Source organism: Homo sapiens, chromosome 7 (genome assembly GCF_000001405.40).
Source record: "Homo sapiens chromosome 7, GRCh38.p14 Primary Assembly".
In the NCBI taxonomy this organism is placed as follows: Eukaryota; Metazoa; Chordata; class Mammalia; order Primates; family Hominidae; genus Homo; species Homo sapiens.
Window position 1 is genome coordinate 38,613,022 of NC_000007.14, and position 19,210 is coordinate 38,632,231.

General features: G+C 40.5%; 1 protein-coding gene across 8 annotated transcripts in view; it reads right to left on the reverse strand.

Moving 5' to 3' along the window:
- The window catches only part of AMPH (amphiphysin), a 247,670-nt gene extending 229,318 nt beyond the window's left edge, over positions 1-18,352 (reverse strand). For all 8 annotated transcript variants that reach the window (XM_006715690.5, XM_011515271.4, XM_017011996.3 and 5 more), the window contains exon 1: positions 18,262-18,352. In XM_006715690.5, coding sequence (XP_006715753.1) covers positions 18,262-18,330 — 69 coding nt within the window. In that variant the 5' untranslated portion in view covers positions 18,331-18,352. The remainder of the gene's footprint in view (positions 1-18,261) is intronic.
- Between the last annotated feature and the right edge of the window lie 858 nt (positions 18,353-19,210).

A 19,210-nucleotide genomic window follows, 5' to 3' on the forward strand; every position in this document is an offset into this window, starting at 1 on the left:
TATTAGTTCTGACTCTAACTGCAACCTTAAAAAAAAAGCATCATTTTCTGCATTTTGCTAAAGTCGAAACATTGGTTCAGAGAGACTTGACCAAGACCATACAGCTGAGAAGTGAGAAGGTCAGGATTTGAATCCATAATTGACTCATTCCAAAGGTCTTCCCATCATTCTGAACTGCTTCCAAATAAATTGTACCAAAATCTTTCTGTAATTCTAGCATTTCAGCTTATATTTTACCAAAGTCACCCTTTCTAAAACGTCTTGGCCAACTCCAAATAGTCCCCTTATAGCATCATCATACCTACCACGGCATAGGACCCAATACAGGTAGAACTTTCACCTCACAATTCAAGTAGAAATACTGCCCAGGGGCCAAATTGTAAAGCTCTGTATTGAGGTGGCTGCCTTCCAACCAATTAGACTAAAAGTACCTGACAATGCTTCCAAGGAGGTCTTAACTAAAGAGATCAATCTTTTTAACAGATAATCGGGATAATTTCTAAGCAATCAAGCACCTGCTCATTATCCGCTGTTCTGAGCGGAGAGTATTTCTCCACCGTGCCTGAATCATCTCTGAACCTTTCATAAAATGCTCTCCACTTCCACAGTATGCAGCCTCAGACAGTAGGTGCAAAATTCAATTTTTACAAGTGAAAGTATATTCTTAAGTTGAACTGTATGAGATTGCTGATATTTGACAAATTTTGTTTCACAAAAAAATGGCAATTTCAAACGGTTCAAAGTAAACCTTAGGACAGAGGTTTAGCTGCAGGAATAAAAGCCAAAAAAAAAAAAAATAGCAGCTTCTGTAGATATAGAAGTCTCCTGCTTCCTCATGCAACTGTGCTAGTGTAAGGAACCCAGGATGCCACAGCAGTTCCATAGTACAGAGGACCCATGCTCCTCCATGCTCATATTCCTGCTGTACTCAACATGTGACATGGCAGGAGTCCACCCCATAGTCTAAAGGTCACAGCCCCACCTCCCACCATGACATCCACATCCAAAGACCGGGAAAGGGAAAGGCAGCAGTGGAACACAAACCTCTCCCCTTAGGATCAAGACCTAGAAGTTTTCTATGCACCTTCTGCACATCTCCCACTGATGAGAGCTTAGCCACATGACACATCTAGCCACAAATGATGCTGTGAAATGCTATCATTTATCATATATGGGTAGTTATATCCCAGCAAAAGTTGGAATTTTATTACTAAATGAAAAGGGAGGAATTGATACTGGGGGCAACCTGCAATCTCTGACATATAGTAAGGAAAAGAATTGCAATTGGCAAACAATCCTGCAGTTTCCATGATGGATCATGTAAAATTGACTGAACTGGAAAGCTCTGGAAAAGCACCTGGAAAGATGAAAATTGAGCTATTGAAGTAAGCTTAAATTAAGTGGAAATCAGAATTCTTGGCATATGGAAGTTGCTAAGAAGCAGATATAGAACACGCATGAGTTCTCTGATGGCCTGGGAAACATCTGCCCTTTGGAGAAATCGGCCCTTTGCCAATTGGTAGAGCACATGCATCCAGGCTTTGCTCTCATCTTTCTCAGTCTGTAAGGTCATATTTGGAGGCACATCTTTATTTCTGGTGTTCAACTTAAGATGAGCTGTAAAGGTTTTGTAAGATGTTCATCTTGTAAGAAATGAAATTAACTCAGATACTCAAGCATTCTTTATGATTTTTCCAAACCATCTTTCGAGGCACTAAGGCCCCGAGGTAGAAGTGCCTCTTTCCCAGATCCCACAAGACCTTAGGCATCAGATTTATTAAAGCAGTTTAAGTTGCTGGGATATAACTACTGTGCAACCAAAAAGAGCTGATTATCACATCAGTTTGCCCCACTTTAGGAAAGTCCAGTATATTAAAGAAAACCCTCTCCAAAGTTAAAAAGAAGGTAACTGGAAGGTCCCAGCGATATAAGTATAATGACACGTAAAGCAATGAATGAAATGTAAAGGCATAAAACCTTTTCAGGTGCCAGACCACTTGGAATTACTCCCCTACACTACATGACACCTGACATTCTCTCAACTCAATATTGCAGAATAACTTCACCAGAACTGATGAAAAGAACATTGCACTGCAAAGTCAAATGAGACTTCCGAGATCAATTCCATACTTAACTAGCTAAGTAGTCTCAAGCAAATTGCCTAACCATTCATCTCTGTGCTTCAGTCTGTTCATCTGTAAGATAGGGATAATAATAGCACCTACTTCATAGGTTCACTACGAGGGTGAAATGAGTTAATATATGGGACTGCTCATCACAGAGCCTAGCAGGGGAAACACCCAATTCTTTATTCTAACTGGACTTGGCACAAGAATTAAGATACCTTGAGTGCAAATTTTCCATTACCCTTCATTAAGTCTAAAAAGGGAGATAAAACCTGGAAGCCCCAGCTCATAGAGCCCTCTTTCCCAAAGTGGAATGAACGTGCCCCCTTCATCCATGGTGCCTGGCAAGCTCTGCCACAGGAGGATATAACAGAAGGAAGAAGAAAGCCTTCCCCTCTGCAAAAAAGAGTAACAAAAGTGGAAGAAAATATACCCCAATTTTCTCCTCTCCTCCCTGAGAAGTGAGGATAATGTCAGGGTCAGAGGGGAGCTACAGTCCTTATGCCCCACTGAACACTCTGGAAAGATCACTTCTTGGGCTGCCCCTCTCACCAGCCTAGGGCACAGTTACATCCTGTAGCTGCACAGTGTAGCCAGGCTAAGGAGACCTGAAGTTGAGATTACCCCAGCTGCCCTTAATACTCATGTAGTGAAGACACAGCAGGTTAGCTACTGTAGCAGTGGCCACGTGGTTCTGTAGCAAGGGCTGGGGATCAGAGCCCAATGTCAGTGCAGCCAGATGGCAGAGCAATGAAGGTGAGCCTGAGCCAGTGGGTGCATGCCATGCCACTGGCCTCTGCTAGAGCCAAAGATGGAGATCGTGAGTTAATGAACCACATATACATGCAGGGAATACCACTCATGTGAGCATAGGACACTGCTCCCAGAGGACAGGAGGCAGAATATAGCACACCAAAGAACCTCTGACACCACGAGATTAGCTGTATCACAATCCTTCCCCCAATCATCTACACAGACACCATGTGTACATCTCCTCTGCACAAGCAAGTCGTAGTCTGAGTTTAAAATGGTGACCACTCCCCCACCTGATTCAAACACAAAATGTGGACAGTTCATGAGAGAAACGTCCCTACGATTATGTGTGAAATATATAAAGATAAAATCAATTATCACTAAACAAATATGAGTCCCATGGGGATGCAGGAGTGAAAAAAATACAACTCAGCGAAATCAAACTTAGAACATGAAAATATAGGCTTTCTAAATTCTCACAACTGTGGACAGGACTATAAATTTGATGCAACTTTGGAAAACTGTTTGGTACCATCTCTAAAAGCTAAAGAGGGCCTACCCTAATGAATCATTCATTCCACTCTCAGGTATTAACCCAAGATAAATAAGTGGTTTTTTCTACCAATAGACATGTATAAGATGTGTTCAGCTGCCTTATTCACCATAGCCTAATACTGGAAACAGACAAAATGCCTAACAGGTGAAGAATGGGTAAATAAATTGTGGGATATTGTACACTATAATATAATTTATCAATAAAAAAAGAAGGAACTGCTCCTACAGATGGCAATACGGATGAATCTCAATACATGATGAGGAGCAAAAGAAGTAAAATTCATAAGAGTATATACTATATGATTCCATTTATACAAGGTTCAAGAACAACTGAAATTAATCTATGGGGTTAGAATCAGAATAGTGGCTACCTGGTAGTAGGAAGTGAGCAGAGGAGAGGAGGTATTAGCTGGGAAGAGGCATGGAGGAGCTAATGGATTCTGGAATTACCCTGTGACTTCATCTGAGTAGCAGTAACACAGGATAGATATAGATAAGATATAGATACAGATAGAAGTAGATATAAATATAGATAATGTAGATGTAGATATAGATTTTGATTTAGTATTTTACATAAAATTTTTACATATATAAAAATGTATGAAGCTGTACGGCTAAGATTTTTGCTACTTACTACATGTATTTCATACCTCATTATAAAAGCTTCAAAACAACATACATGCACAGTCTTTTCCACTTCAATTTAAGGAAGCAAGGTGTGAGAGGAATGTGTGTTACCCCAAGGGGGCTGATCTACACCCAAACTCTACAGGGCATCATCTAATGTACGTTGGAAATAAATGTAGACTTCCCCTGGTCACCTCTGATAGAGGGTTCCTCTCATTTACCTGGGCCACCTCTAAACAGAGATCTCTAGATGCCATGAAATGGACAACTAGAAAAAGTCATAGGCTGTGGTGACTCAAAAACTGAATTACCTTAAGAAATTTTGTTATCCCTTAAATAACAGATCAAAATAATTATTTTAGAGATGTGTGACAAGGAACCTGGAGTGGCAGAAGGCGTGCACCACGCATTTATGTTGAAACTATCACAATACTTGGGCCAAATCCTGAGGGACCTAGAAAATCTGAGTCTTCAAGGGCAAGGACCATAACCAAACCAAGAATAAACCATGCTGGGTGCCCAGGTGCCAGCAGCTCTGTCATCCACTGATGACTTAATTCTCCTTCCTGCTCTTCAAGTTTTGCAGAAATATTTAAGCCAAGAGTCCCTTAATACTTTAGACTCATTGTTGGTGTTTATGCTTTTTAAGTCACAGATCTTTTTGAAAACCTGATAAAAGTTACAGGCACCCAGAAAAAAGTTATAAGATGTTGCATATATCTTGAGGTATCATAAGTAATACTTAGTAGCTCCTAACTATGGAATGGAAAAAAAAACTGGAATTGTAAAACTACTAAGGGGAGTATGAAACATTTCCTCAATAATCCAAACCAGTTAGCAGACAGTAAGTGTAACTTTATTTATACTATGGCTAAAAACTAATTAGTTCCTTATATTACTTTACTTTATGTTTAGCTGGAGTTATGCTTAATAAATGTGTTAGTAACACTGGACATCTCGTACTATGATCTTGCTTTATTTTTTAATGAGCAAATGAGTTAATAATTGTTTATTAAACAGAGTCCATTTCATAAGAAAAATATATTTTTGAAATATGCAGTAACAACATAGGTTAATGCAAAAGACAGTATAAATGCATTATTGCTTATAACTCATTATGATTCTATCTGATTTAAAAGAGTTGCATAGGCCAGGCGCGGTGGCTCACACCTATAATCCCAGCACTTTGGGAGGCCGAGGCGGGCAGATCATGAGGTCAGGAGATCAAGACCATCCTGGCTAACATGGTGAAACCCCATCTCTACAAAAAAAAAAAAAAATTAGCCACGCGTGGTGGCATGCACCTGTAGTCCCAGCTACTCGGGAGGCTGAGGCAGGAGAATGGCATGAAACCGGGAGGCAGAGCTTACAGTGAGCCGAGATCATGCCACTGCACTCTAGCCTGGGTGACAGAGTGAGACTCTGTCTCAAAAAAAAAGAGTTGCATAAAGCAATTACTATAAATCTTGTTGACGAACATAAAATATATAAACATGTAAGGTGTTTGACAATCACAATACAACAAAAGAGAGAAAATGGAGCTACACAGGAGAAAAATGTTATATACTATTGAAATTGAGATAGTATTAATCTGACCTCTATTGTGACAAATGTAGATGTTAACTGTAATCCCAGGGCAACCACTAAGAAAATAACTCAAAAACTATTTGTAAAAGAAACAACAAGGGAATTAAAAGACCACACAAGAAAATATCTATTTAACACCAAAAGCAGGCATGAAAAATAAAGCAACAAAGAGAAATAAGATATACATGACAAACATAAATCCTGTCTTTTCAGTTAATTATGTAAAATGTAAATAGACTTAATACTCCAATTAAAAGGCAGAGATTGGCAAAATTGATCCAAAAAATCTAACAAAATACTGTCTATGAGAGACAACATTTAGATTCAAAGACACAAATAAGTTGAAAGTATAAGGATGAAAAAGATATCTCATGCTGCCAGGCATGATGGCAAGTGCCTGTAGTCCCAGCTACTCAGGAGGCTGAGGCAGGAGGATTGCTTGAGTCCAGGAATTCGAGGCTGCAGTGAGTTATGATCGTGCCTGTACTCCAGCCTGAGTGACAGAGCAAGACCCTGTCTCTTAAATAAAAAAAAAGATACATCATGCAAATATTATAGTAACCAAAAGAAAACTGGAATGGCTATAACCGTATCAGATAAAAATGGACTTTAAGACAAAAGTTACTACTAGAGACAAAGAAGGACATTTAATAATGACAAAAGGTCAATCTATGAAGTAGACGTAACAAATGTAACTATGCACCTAATAAAAGAGCACTAAAATACATGAAGGATAAACTGACAGAGCGGAAGAAAGAAATAGACAATTCAACAACAATACTGAAGACTCCAATACCTTAGTTTCAATAATGGATAGAACATCTAGATAGAAGATCAACAAGAAAACAAACCAACTCATCCTAACACACATCTATAGAACACTCTACCCAACAACAGCAAAAAACAGTTATTCTCAAGCGTACATGGAAGATTCTCCAGGATAGGCCATATGCTAGACTATAAAATGAGCCTCAACAAATTTTAAAAGATTAAAGTCACATAAAATATTTTCTCCACCTACAATGGATTCACTGTCTATGCTTAACAGGAACAACTATGGGCCAATATACATCCCCAGGAGAGCCCTACAAGGACTTAGGTCTCAACCTATAGTTTAGGAATGCCAGTGGTCCCCATGGTCACAAGCATTTTGTAAAGGGATGGAAACAGAACTCTGGATACCATTTTCCTAGAGACTCTCAGAGAAAATATTGTGTTATAAAATCTGTAGGTTAAAAAAGTAGGATGTCTTACACAAATGTCTCATATATTAAAGAATTACAGAGTAATTACAGAGAAAGGTATTAGACTGTTCTTCAACATCCTAGGAGTGCTGCCATTAAGTTGGGAGATCCTCCCAAGGTTTGGACCATCTACGCTATTTAAAGGTTTGTAACCATTATCAGATAGAGGAAAAGATTGTCTGCTATGAAAGATTCTCTTCCCTAATTTAGGATTCCTTCCAAGCTGCAAATCACCTGAAGCTGATTATTCCTAAGTCCAAGACCACTGCCTGCAAAATAATCAAGTCAATACCCATAATTAAGTCAAGTTGCCAGCCTTAATTATATTTCTCTCTCGCTCGTTCACTCTCTCTCTCCTTCCCTCCTTCCCTCTCTGCCCCACCCCCGTGTACATTATATACCAATTCATTGGAGATATATATATGTGTGTGTGTGTGTGTGTGTGTGTGTCTGTGTGTGTGTGTTAAAGAAGCAGGATGTCTTACACAGATGTTTCATATATTGAGGAATTACAGAGTAATTACAGGGAAAGGTATTACACTGTTCTTCAACACCCTAGGCAGTGCTGCCATAAGTTGGGAGATCCTCCCAAGGTTTGGACCATCTATGCATCTATGCTATATATATACATACATACACACACACACACACACACACACACACACACACACACACACGTGCAATTGATTAAATGTTGATTAAATGTTAGGCATCCAAATGCAATTAAGACTTTTAAAGACAAAAGCATCTTTATAGATGGGTGACACTTAAGAATTTGATAAGGGCTTTCTTTTTTTTGGATTTCTGATGGTTTAAAATAAGAGACCCTTCTCTCAACAAATCCATGAAAGCATACTGGGTTGGAGTTTACTGCTGTTGTAAAAAAGGATTTTGGATGACAGATAGTTCAGAGGGCAAGTCAGCTCTGAACCAGTGTCCTGGCTCTGTGTCAAGGGGGCAACTATGCCCCAGAAGGACCCTTCAACAGGTAAGGGTAAAAATCTGATCACACAAACGAGGGACTGCTACCACAGCAGTGGACCCAATTAGGGTCCACTTTGCCTAGTTAAATATCCAAATGAGAGAAGAGATCATTTATAAGGCCAGTGTCTGCAGTCAATTCTCTATTCTACAGTTCTTATTTATGCTCAAGGAGTAAGGACAAAGTGTCAGAGGTATAGAATGCTTCCTGACTCCTGTAATCAGCACACCCTTACTCCTCTTGTCTGATGGCTACAATTCATTCTTAGGATCTTAGCTTGAAATCTACCTACTTTAAGTAACTGTGTTCAAATCCTCTGACTCTAGATTAGTTCCCTAGTTACAAACTGAACTGTATTTTTATCATACATAAGTTAAAATTACTATTTTTAACTAATAACTATGTACTTAGTAGTGTGTGCAAAAGTTTATCTCACTATCAACTCCTGCTGCTCTGTATGCTCAACCAGGACAGCTCTGTCAACTGCTATATTATGAGTCTCTAGAAAGTGCCTTCCACATATTAGATTCTCAATAAATGGCTCTAAATAAATGAATTCTACCAAATTGACTTGACAATAGAATAGATAACTAATAAAGCATATGAATTTAACATCCTTTACTCAACAACTTTTAGGTGCCTTGATAAAAGTGCATTTATGCATGGGTCTATGCATATTTTATTAAATCATTATAGGCACGTAAAGATAGGGAAAAATCATATATATATTTATTAATTTGTTAAATTATTATATATTCAAGCTCTTCCCATTTATGAACTCAGCTTTCAACTAAATAACTGCATGAGAGTAAGATGTAAATGACCAAAATGGTGGTTTTCTCGTTTTTGTACATCTGTTCTAAGTAGGTTCAGGGTGATCAAAATTGATATATGATTATCACATAGCAAATATTTCAAAACTAAGATCTTATCCATGGCTTTATACGACATCATTCCTCAAAAGAGATTTGGTCAATTTGTGTTCAGGAAGTACATCTACAGCCAAATAGTACACTTAAATTTAGATCTCAAATCAATAAGAATGATGTTTCAGCATTTCCATGTGGAAAGGTGGCCCATAGATGCAGTCTCAGAAAATCGTGATTATTATCACTTCAATTTTGCATGATGCTGTATAGATGGTCTTACTATATTCTTTCATGGGTAAATTCCTTAAACTCTGTGGTGACAGCATTTCCATTATGTAAATGTTAGCCATTTACTGAGAATGTAGGAAAAATTATATCTGCAACACAAGGAATCTTTACATCTTTTGTCCCTTTTACAGGAGCCCACTGGGCCACTTATTTTCTCAGAAGTTCTATGCAGGTGGCCCCTAGTGTAAATGGCTAGAAAGTCTTTTAAAATTGTGTTTGGACAGTAAGGTGGAAATTTCCAGACTTTAAAATATCAGAAAAATGCATCATTTTAAGAAAGATTCTTTCCCTTCTCTACTTATTTTCTCCTAAGGTACTTCACAATATTTCCTGTTTGAAATTTAGTCATATATATGAATGTATGTAATATATGTAACTATATATTTGTATGTATGAATACATACACACACACACACACACACACACGCACAAACACATCCCCTTAGATGAACTGCAATGGCCCAAAAGATAGTCAACTTACAGGAATGGATACCAGAGGTCCTCTAGGGTAGTGTTTTTCAAATTGTGGGCTTAGAATAAATTTAGTATGTCCCAAAGATAATTTTCTCAAAAGTGGAAGAGTAGAGTGGAATGAAATAGATAATTCTAGGCACAATGTGTGAGGATATTGAATCTTTCCTAACTTTGGAACACGGGCACTATGAGCAAATCTTGGGGGAGGGGGAATTTGTATGTGTATATGCACAAGTAAATTTGAGAATGGCTTGTATAATTTGGGAATGGTTTGTATAATATTCATGGATATTCATTTGTAAAGAGCTCACATATGTGGAGCTCAGACATACTGAAGCTGAGTCTAACCCAGGAGAGAGAGGCTTCCAGCTCCTGCCTCCACCCTAAGACCCACTGGTGAGGGCACCGTACTGTGCTCTTGTTCCCTGCAGTGCTCATCCAGGGATAAGAACGGTATCCGAATGCTGGACTCACATTAGGGACCCTTTCTCACAAGGCTGTAGTAAAAACCATTGACTCATTTAAAGAAGGGAAACTCACCATGGGTTCCTGAAATTATCACAAGAGACAGGGACCCCTGGGAGGAGTAAGAGATTTTCATAATAATTGGGTAGGAAGGAGAAATCATTTAATTCGAATATTTAAAGAAATGGGATCTAATTTCATACACCAAGTAAAGGGGGCCATATTGTTTATACAAATATCTCAGCTATGACAAGTTGTTTGGTCTATTAAAAAAGCTAGTTTTCAAATGTAACCAAATATGCTTGTGTTAAAGGAGAATGGTAACTTTTATTAATGTTAAAATCTGAGTTCCTACAGTTCTTATTTTCTGTTGTACTCATTCCTAGAGAAAGAAGGATACATTAGTATATATATGTTTGCATTAATAAAAAAGGCAGAAGAAGGAAACTCTACTCTGTTAAGAATGTCCCATAATTATTATTTTTAATTTTTGAAGTTTCTAATACAGCCAGAGAAAATAACCCTAGTGGAAAAGAAGGCATAAGCTTTGTAAAATATAGATGCAGGCAACAAAAGAGATTTCAGATGATCTGAAAAAAGAGAAACCCCAATATGTCTCAGAGATTTGGTCTCTGAAGTGTCCTCGGAAGTAAACGTGGCCATATAAACTACTCTTCTACAGATGGGCCCTGGGCCTCACAGTACAAATCTCCTTGACAGAGGAGGATCTTCCTTTGCCCATTCTTTTTATACATGCACACCATCCACAATATTTCTCCTTGAGAACAAAAAATGCAGGCATCGGCAAAGCGACAATCGAAAAAGAATCCAAATGTCACACAACCAGACAGATGGAAGGAGACAACATTGTTTTCTTACCATATCACTCAATCAACATTGCACTGAAGCACATGACTCTGCCAATATTTGACTGTTTGACTCACAAATATGACAATTCCACATGATTCAGCCTAATATTTATAGCATTCCCACCATGTATAGAATCCATAAGGGTAATTACATTTGCTGTACTATTTTCACAAAATGACAAAGCAAATGACGATGAAACCCTTATGATAATTTCACAAAAGTCACAGAAAGAATTGTGGAAGGATTCTTTAAGACAATGTGTTTGCAGGAGTGGGAGGTTAACAAGCAAGGACATGGAAAGGCAAATCAGTACATCGTCACTGAGTACATACAATTCGCAAGATATTTGGTCCTTGTCCTCAAGTACCTACAATTTAGTTTGGAAGATGTAATGCATGAAAAAAAAATTGCACCTAAGACAATTATATAATAATCACTTGGGACAGAGAAAATGACACAAAGAATATCAAACTGGGCAGGTCCTTAGAATTTAAATAGTCTAACTCCCTTATTATTATTATTAGTATTAGTATTAGTATTAGTATTATTTTTGAGATGGAGTTCGCTCTGTCGCCCAGGCTGCAGTGCAGTGGCACAATCGCGGCTCACTGCATCCTCTGCCCTCCCGGTTCAAGCGATTCTTCTGCCTCGGCCTCCCGAGTATCCTGCTCACTACAGTCATGGTAAAAAAAAAAAAAAAAATGTTTAAAGGCAGTGCTTCACTGATTTAAATATTGTATAGAGGTCAAAGAGAGTTAAGACCAAATAAATGCCACTGGATTTCACAAATAGAAGAAGATGGGCAAAAAAATAAATAAATAAAAATAATAAAAAAATAAATCCCAGAGAGATCAAGTATTTAAATAAAAAGGCATTTCGTTAAACATGGCAGGCTGACTGCATGTGCTTATTTCCATCTCATTCCAAAGCCCAACTAAGGCGACAGTAAAGGAATAAAAAATTATGAACATACAAGGACAAGAACAGGAAAGCCAGCATTAGTGAATACAAGAGTTCCATACATTTTACAGATGCTAAAAAAGATGAAAGAATGGAAACAAGTCAGCAGAATGGAGGAAACTATAAGAAAAAAAAAAGTGTGCCTATACAGGAACAACCAATGAAAAAGCAACCAATTATCACCACACAGTTACACACACAAACACACTCAGGGTTAGGACCTGGTCCCACCACACACCACACACCATAGAAGGTAAGAATGAAGCACAACACTGACAACAGGGGACTGTTTGAAAGCCCGGGAATATAGGATACTTGAGATTTCAGGTCCATTCCTCAACCCCAACACTGGCAAAAGAAGACCCAGGATGACATGTATGCAACAGGTCTACAGAAAAATCAGCCCAGATTACCACAAAAGGGCAGAGGCATCCAAAAAGGATATCTCCAGGATGAGAAAATGAGCAATTACATTATTTGATATATTGAACCTCGAACAATAATATTGATAAACATTTGACATATCTGATGAAGCAAGAAGAAACAACTTTTTAAAGTTCATTTAAAAAATAAGCAAATTTTTAAAGGCAAGGCAATTATTAACTCCAGGAAAAACAAAAAGCTGCATGAAAAACTTAATCCTCACATAAGACTTCATGAAAACTTTAAACTGCCACTCATCAAAGGGTACCACTAAGAAAGTAAAAAAGCAAGGCACTGTCTGGAAGAAAATATAAGATGTCCACCTGATAAAGAACTCATATCCTGAATACATAGAAAACTAAACAGCAACAGAAAAAAGACAAGCAACCCAAATAAAATACTGGCAAGAGACTTTAATGAAACTTCACAAAAGAAGATATCAAAATTACCAATAAGTACATGTAAAGGTGCTCATCAGGGAAAAGAGAGTAAAGTAATTTAAAAGGTATGAACATAAAAAGACAAAGAACAAGAAAGGCAAAAGAAATGGTAGGTAACTGGGATGGAAGAAACATTCTGTTACTTATCTGGGTGGTAGCTATGCAGATATCCATATACATAGAAACTCATGAAGCTGAACACTTAAGATTTGTGCACTTTATTCAATAAAAATTGGACTTCAATCTTTAAAATGTAATCTTTTGCAATAACAATTTTTGTTCAGTGTATAATTGGGGGAAGAACTAGAGGAGAAATAAAAAAGTTAAATTTACATATCTTCACCATACATTAAAAGATAGATCAAGAAATAGCTGTATAAGCATATTTTTGAGAAATCTCATGGTTAGCACTATTGCCTCTAACAAGATTGTAGGTTGAGGAGAGGGGAACAGGGGACTGTTATTTTTCTTTCTTTTTTTTAAATTTTACCTTAAGTTCTGGGATACATGTGCAGAATATGCAGGTTTGTCACATAGGTATACATGTGCAATGGTGGTTTGCTACACCTATGAACCCCATCATTTAGGTTTTAAGCCCCACTTCAAACTATACTACAAGGCTACAGTAACCAAAACAACATGGTACTGGTACCAAAACAGATATATAGACCAATGGAACAGAACAGAGACCTCAGAAATAACACCACACATCTACAGCCATCTGATCTTTGACAAATCTGGCAAAAATAAGCAATGGGGAAAGGAGTCCCTATTTACTAAATGGTGCTCGGAAAACTGGCTAGCCATATGCAGAAAACAGAAACTGGACCCCTTCCTTACACCTTATACAAAAATTAACTCAAGATGGATCAAAGACTTAAATGTAAAACCTAAAACCATAAAAACCTTAGAAGAAAACCTAGGCAATACCACTCAGGACATAGGCATGGGCAAAGACTCTATGACTAAAACACCAAAAGCAATTGCAACAAAAGCCAGAATTGACAAATGGGATCTAATTAAACTAAAGAGCTTCTGCACAGCAAAAGAAACTATCATCAGAGTGGGAGAAAATTTTTGCTATCTATCCATCTGACAAAGGGCTAATTATCCAGAATCTAAAAGGAACTTAAGCAAATTTACAAGAAAAAAACAACCCCATCAAAAAGTAGGCGAAGGATATACAGTTTTTCATGATAAGCTTTTTACTAACATATTTTTTAACTGCACACATAAAAATGTTAAACAAATATTAAATATGTGATTATTTATATAAACCTGGGATGGAGAAGGTCTTTCAGGGACGCCTCTGTGAATATCATTTATTTTGCCACCCAGTGTCCACTCCCCATTCTGTACTCTAAGTTCCCTACCTCCTCCACTAAGAGTCCATATCGTTCAGGGGAATCTTCATTCCTGGCTTTCGCACTGGCTCATGACTCAGGCCCAATTCAACCAGTCCAACCCGTGGTCTTGGCCCTTGCTCTCAGAGATGTTTTTTCTTCCAGAGATAGGCACAAGGCCCAGTTTGGGCCACTGAGAGTTATACCAAAGAGTTCTGTAAAAATGCTGAAGGAGGCCGGGCGCGGTGGCTCGCACCTATAATCCCAGCACTTTGGGAGGCTGAGGCGGGCAGATAACGAGGTCAGGAGATTGAGACCATCCTGGCAAACATGGCGAAACCCCGTCTCTACTAAAAATACAAAAAAAAAAAAAATTAGCCGGACGTGGTGGCAGGCACCTGTAGTCCCAGCTACTAGGAAGATCGAGACCATCCTGGCTAACACGGTGAAACCCCATCTCTACTAAAAATATAAAAAATTAGCCAAGCGTGGTGGTGGGCACCTGTAGTCCCAGCTACTGGGCAGGCTGAGGCAGGAGAATGGCATGAACCCAGGAGGTGGAGCTTGCAGTGAGCCGAGATCGCGCCATTGCACTCCAGCCTGGGTGACAGAGCGAGACTCTGTCTCAAAAAAAAAAAAAAAAAAGCTAAAGGAAAGATATGGTCTGCATATACTTTTACATATACATATGTATAAGAATATGTATATAGGCTACTATAGGTAAGATATTCATATATCTTATGTGAATATATAGCTTTTATTCATTAAAAGCTAATCTAAATTTATATGTACAAGAACCATATATAAATTGTTAGATATTATTATTATTAGCAATTAAATTCCTTTTTTCCTTAAGCCAGTTTGGGTTGAGCTTTCTGACACCTGCATGTAGCAGGATCCTGACTAATTCAACCACGCAAAAGAGAAACCAGACAAAACCAACCAATAGATGTAAGCAGATATACATAAAACATCAACAAAAACATTTTCTCAGTAGAAATCACCAAACAATTTAAAAGTAAATAGAAAAGGAAGAAAGAATGGTTGTAACCCTTAGGCTTGATAAAGTTTTTGCCCTTACTAATAACAAGACAGAATTGCTACAGAAAACGGGCAGAAATATAAAAGCACAATTCAAGAACAAAAACACGAATGCACAAAAGTTTGCTTTTTAAAAATCAAACAAATGAAATTAATCATGAACAAATTTTATCCAATGACATAGCTAAACATTGTTTTAAATTTTATTATCCAGAGTTGGCAAGTGTCTCATGGACTGCTGATGAGAATGTAAATTGGTACACCTTTCTGGAAGGCAATCTAGCTATAATAAAAATAGGCAAACCTTGGATGCAATAAGTCTTCTTCTAGGAATTTATCTAAGGAGATAATTAAAGAGGTGTGCAAACATTCTCCCTACAAATTTGCTCACTGACTTGTATTTCCATATAGAAACACTGGAAAAATGAATATTCAAAAGATAAGGCATTCAGTATAATCCATACATTCCAATAGTGTTCAATAATTTAAAATATTGATGGAAAATATGTACATGTATAGAAGGATGTTCATAATTATGAAGTGAAATAAACAGGTCTTCAACTATACAGCAATGAGCCTGTTTTGGTTGTATAAATACATACACACATGGAAAAAGATCTACTCAGATACATATCAAATGGTAGTAAAATTTCCGAGTAGTAGAATTATGTGCTTCGTAATTTGCTGGAGTTTTTTTCTGCTTATATGTACATTTCAGCCTTGTGGTTTTTTTCTGCTGACTAATACATTTCAGCCTTTCTCCAATGAATCTTCACTGACTTTCAGTAAGAAAAAAACGTATTTAAAATTCCTAAAAAGCCATGTCACCTCTAAAAGTGATTTCAGACATGCAGTTGGAGCCTAAACATATGCAAGCTTTTAGGTGAAGCACAGATGATAAGAAAGTCAAGGGAGTGGACTCTCTTTTAAGAAAATTTGGTTGTAAAAACAAGAAGCAAAGGGTCTCAGGGACATATATGGTCTATAGTTATTGGGATGAAGAGTCTTCTCTGGAGAAGAGGAAGAGGCCAAAGGTGTAGAAAGAGGGAATCACGTGGGGATATGTCTAATGGAGCCTCTGACAGTAACATACTGTGCTTTCCTTTCTCCAGCAGCCTCCATTTGGGCTGGGCTGCTTTACCTGGATGCCAACATGCCCTTTTCTCTTTGTGCCAAGCATATCCTGATGCTACACAGACTCAGAAAGGGGGGCAGAACTCACCCTGGGGAAGAGCCTATACTCTCAGCCTCTTAGTGTTTGAACCTCTATACTAGGTGCGGCAGGCACTTTTCATCAGCACCTTTCCCCAGTGAAGAAAATAGGACGCTTGAAACCCCCAAGAGGGTCTCTCACCCCCGCTCCCATAGAAGACTGACCACCATCCACAACTGCAGTCATAAAGTACACTTGACCTTGATCGTGAAAAAGTGAGTTTTGACAATTCACAGGACTTGAATGCTCCGTAAGAGATTAGGTTTTCTTTTCATTTATTTTGAGCATATTAACAGCTGGTGACCTAGATTAAGAAATAATTCAATATGTGAAAAGGCAGACCATATCACTAAATTCCTTCACAGATGGAAAGTGGATTCAGTGAAAAGCCTCAGACCGAAGAGTCAAGTAATTACTTGGAAGGCAGGAGGAGGAGTACCTACAAGTGGGTAAAATGAAGTGTGGAAAAAGGATGACAAAACCTGGCCCAGATCCCAAGCCAGCAGATCCCTGGCTACTTTCTGCACAAGTAACCCGGGCCTGGAAGGCAGCAGGCAGCCTTGCTAATTCAGCTGCGGAGGGAGAGGCAGGAGGAGGATCACTTTAGTTCAGGATGAGCTTGGGTAGATATTAAAAGAAATACAATCCTCTTACTGCATGGAGAGTGTGCATGTGTGGAGGGAGGGACTAGAGGCAGCCACCAAGCCTCTGGGCCTGGGGACAAAAGGGATCAGTGCCCCCTCTGCTCAGCAACTCATGGTCAGCCGGAACTGGGAGGCAGCCTGAGATTGAGATTGGGTCTGAAGAGGGAAATTCATTGCCATCCTGAGCAACATGGCAAATCTGACTTCCAGTAAAACAGGAAAACGCTAAACACCCCATATCCTAGGGACGGAAAATACTGCCACGTGAAAGAGAACACAGTTCAAGTGATACCAATCATGGGGCTCATTAGCCGGTGTTGATTTTCAAGTACAATGCTCAAGCTACAATATAAAGGAAATGTCCTTTGCTCAGGACACAAATGAAGACCTCAGGGCCGTCATATACAGCAGTCACCAGGGAAGCCAGGCAAGCCTGGTGCCTGGTACAACTCCCCTCCACCTGCTTTGGGCTGTGCTTGCTACGGACCTGGGTTTCATTCATGCACGTCTCTGGGGAAAAAAAATAAATTACTGTGCGCAATTTACTGAGGGACTTGCAAAACAACAGAGAACCCAATTTGTGCAATCTGGATTTTTTAAAATGCAATAAAAGGTCCTTCTTTGTGCAGAAATATGCAGAAAGGAACTATTAGGTTCAGGTCATATTTATTTTTGACCTTCTAAAGAAGGACACTGGAGTCAAAAGGGACACAAACATATAGACCAAAATTAAAAGTGTGTATATCTAGATCTCTGTTTTGAACTCCAGAACTCACCAGACAGCACTGTGTGATCACGATCCTACCCTATTGGTCCTGGGAGATTTTTGGTGGCTTCTCTGTTAAATCGTTCGTGTCTGCTGCACTTAAGTAGCCACAAAATCCCCCGCAAGAAGGAAGGCTGCTGCAATCTCCCGCCCCGATCTGCGGGCCGCGTCCCCGCGAGCTGCCTGCGGGCGCGCTGGGAGCCGGCCCGGGGAGATGCGAGCGCAGGGAGATGCGCTCTGCTCCGGGCGCAGCGGGCAAGCTGCCGCACCTCCTACTTCTGTTGCCTGGCTTGGGGCCAGGAGAGCGGCAACCCGGGGCCGGCTCCGGAGCTGGACATATCCGGCGTCTCCGGGGCCAGGGTCTGCGGGTCCCCGGCGCTGCGTCCTCCCGACCCGCTCCCCGCGGCGCCCGGGTCGCGCCTTGCGGCAGTCACCGAGCTGAGGGCAGGGCGTCCCAGCGTCCCTGGCCCCGGCCCCGCTCCGCAGCGCGCCGCACCCCGAGGCTCGGGCCCCGCACAGCTGCAGCCGGTGCCCTCCGGCCAAGCCCCCGCCTGGCGTCCCCGGCCCCAGCCCCGGCCGCCCGCCGCTGACCTTTTCCTGCGCGCGGTTGAGTCGCTTCTGGACGTTCTTGGCGAAGATGCCCGTCTTGATGTCGGCCATGGCTGCGGGTCCGGGGAGCTGCGAAGAGCAGAGCGCGCAGCGGGGCTGGCGGCGGCGCGGAGGAGCGGGAGGAGGAGCGGGAGGAGGAGGAGAGGGCCGAGCAAGGGAGGAGCGGGAGAAGCGGCGGGGAGCCGCGGAGCGCGGAGGGGTGAGGGCGGGGCGCGGCGGCGGGACCAGCTTAAAGCGACAGAGCGGGGGCGGGATGCGTCGGGACTGGCTGTGACATGGGGAGAAGGGGCGGGGGAAGAAAGAGAAAGAGGCCAAGAAAAAGAGAGGGAAAAGCCAGAAGCCAGATTGTCTCCTCGATGATAGAAGAGTTTCGAGAGGAGAAAGGGAACCAAGCCTAGCAGAAGTCCCTGGGCCCAGGGGCAGCTCGGGGGTTCTTTTAATGCAGTTTGTATTTGGGGAGAGTGAGGGGACCTGATTCTTTCCAGCAAAAAAAGAAATAGGGGAGACAAAAAAGGGAAGAACCCTAGGGATGTGGAAGCCAGCTGGATTGGAACTGCTCTGAAGTGGAGCTGATGGGGCTGGTCCCTTGCTGCTCCCAAAAGTTTCCAGCTAACAGAGGCCCCTCCATACACCCTGGGTGTTGCAGAAGAAGGTATGGAGGTCGCCCTACCCTCAGGAGGCTCACAGCCCAGTGAGGGGCCCTGGCTGGGAAACCAACGAAGTCAGAGCTGCAGGAGAGAGGCGTGTGGAGAGCAAAGCGGGGAGAGACCATCGCTGACACTTGTTTAAACTTTAAAACAAGAGTTAGCAGGGCGGGGAGGTCCGCGTTGAGAAAGGTCAGCTTCCGGAAGACAGGCGATGTGTTTTGGTCATCTCCAAAATTCCTGTGCTGGGCAGAAACCTTAGAATAGACTACTCTTCAAGAAATGGT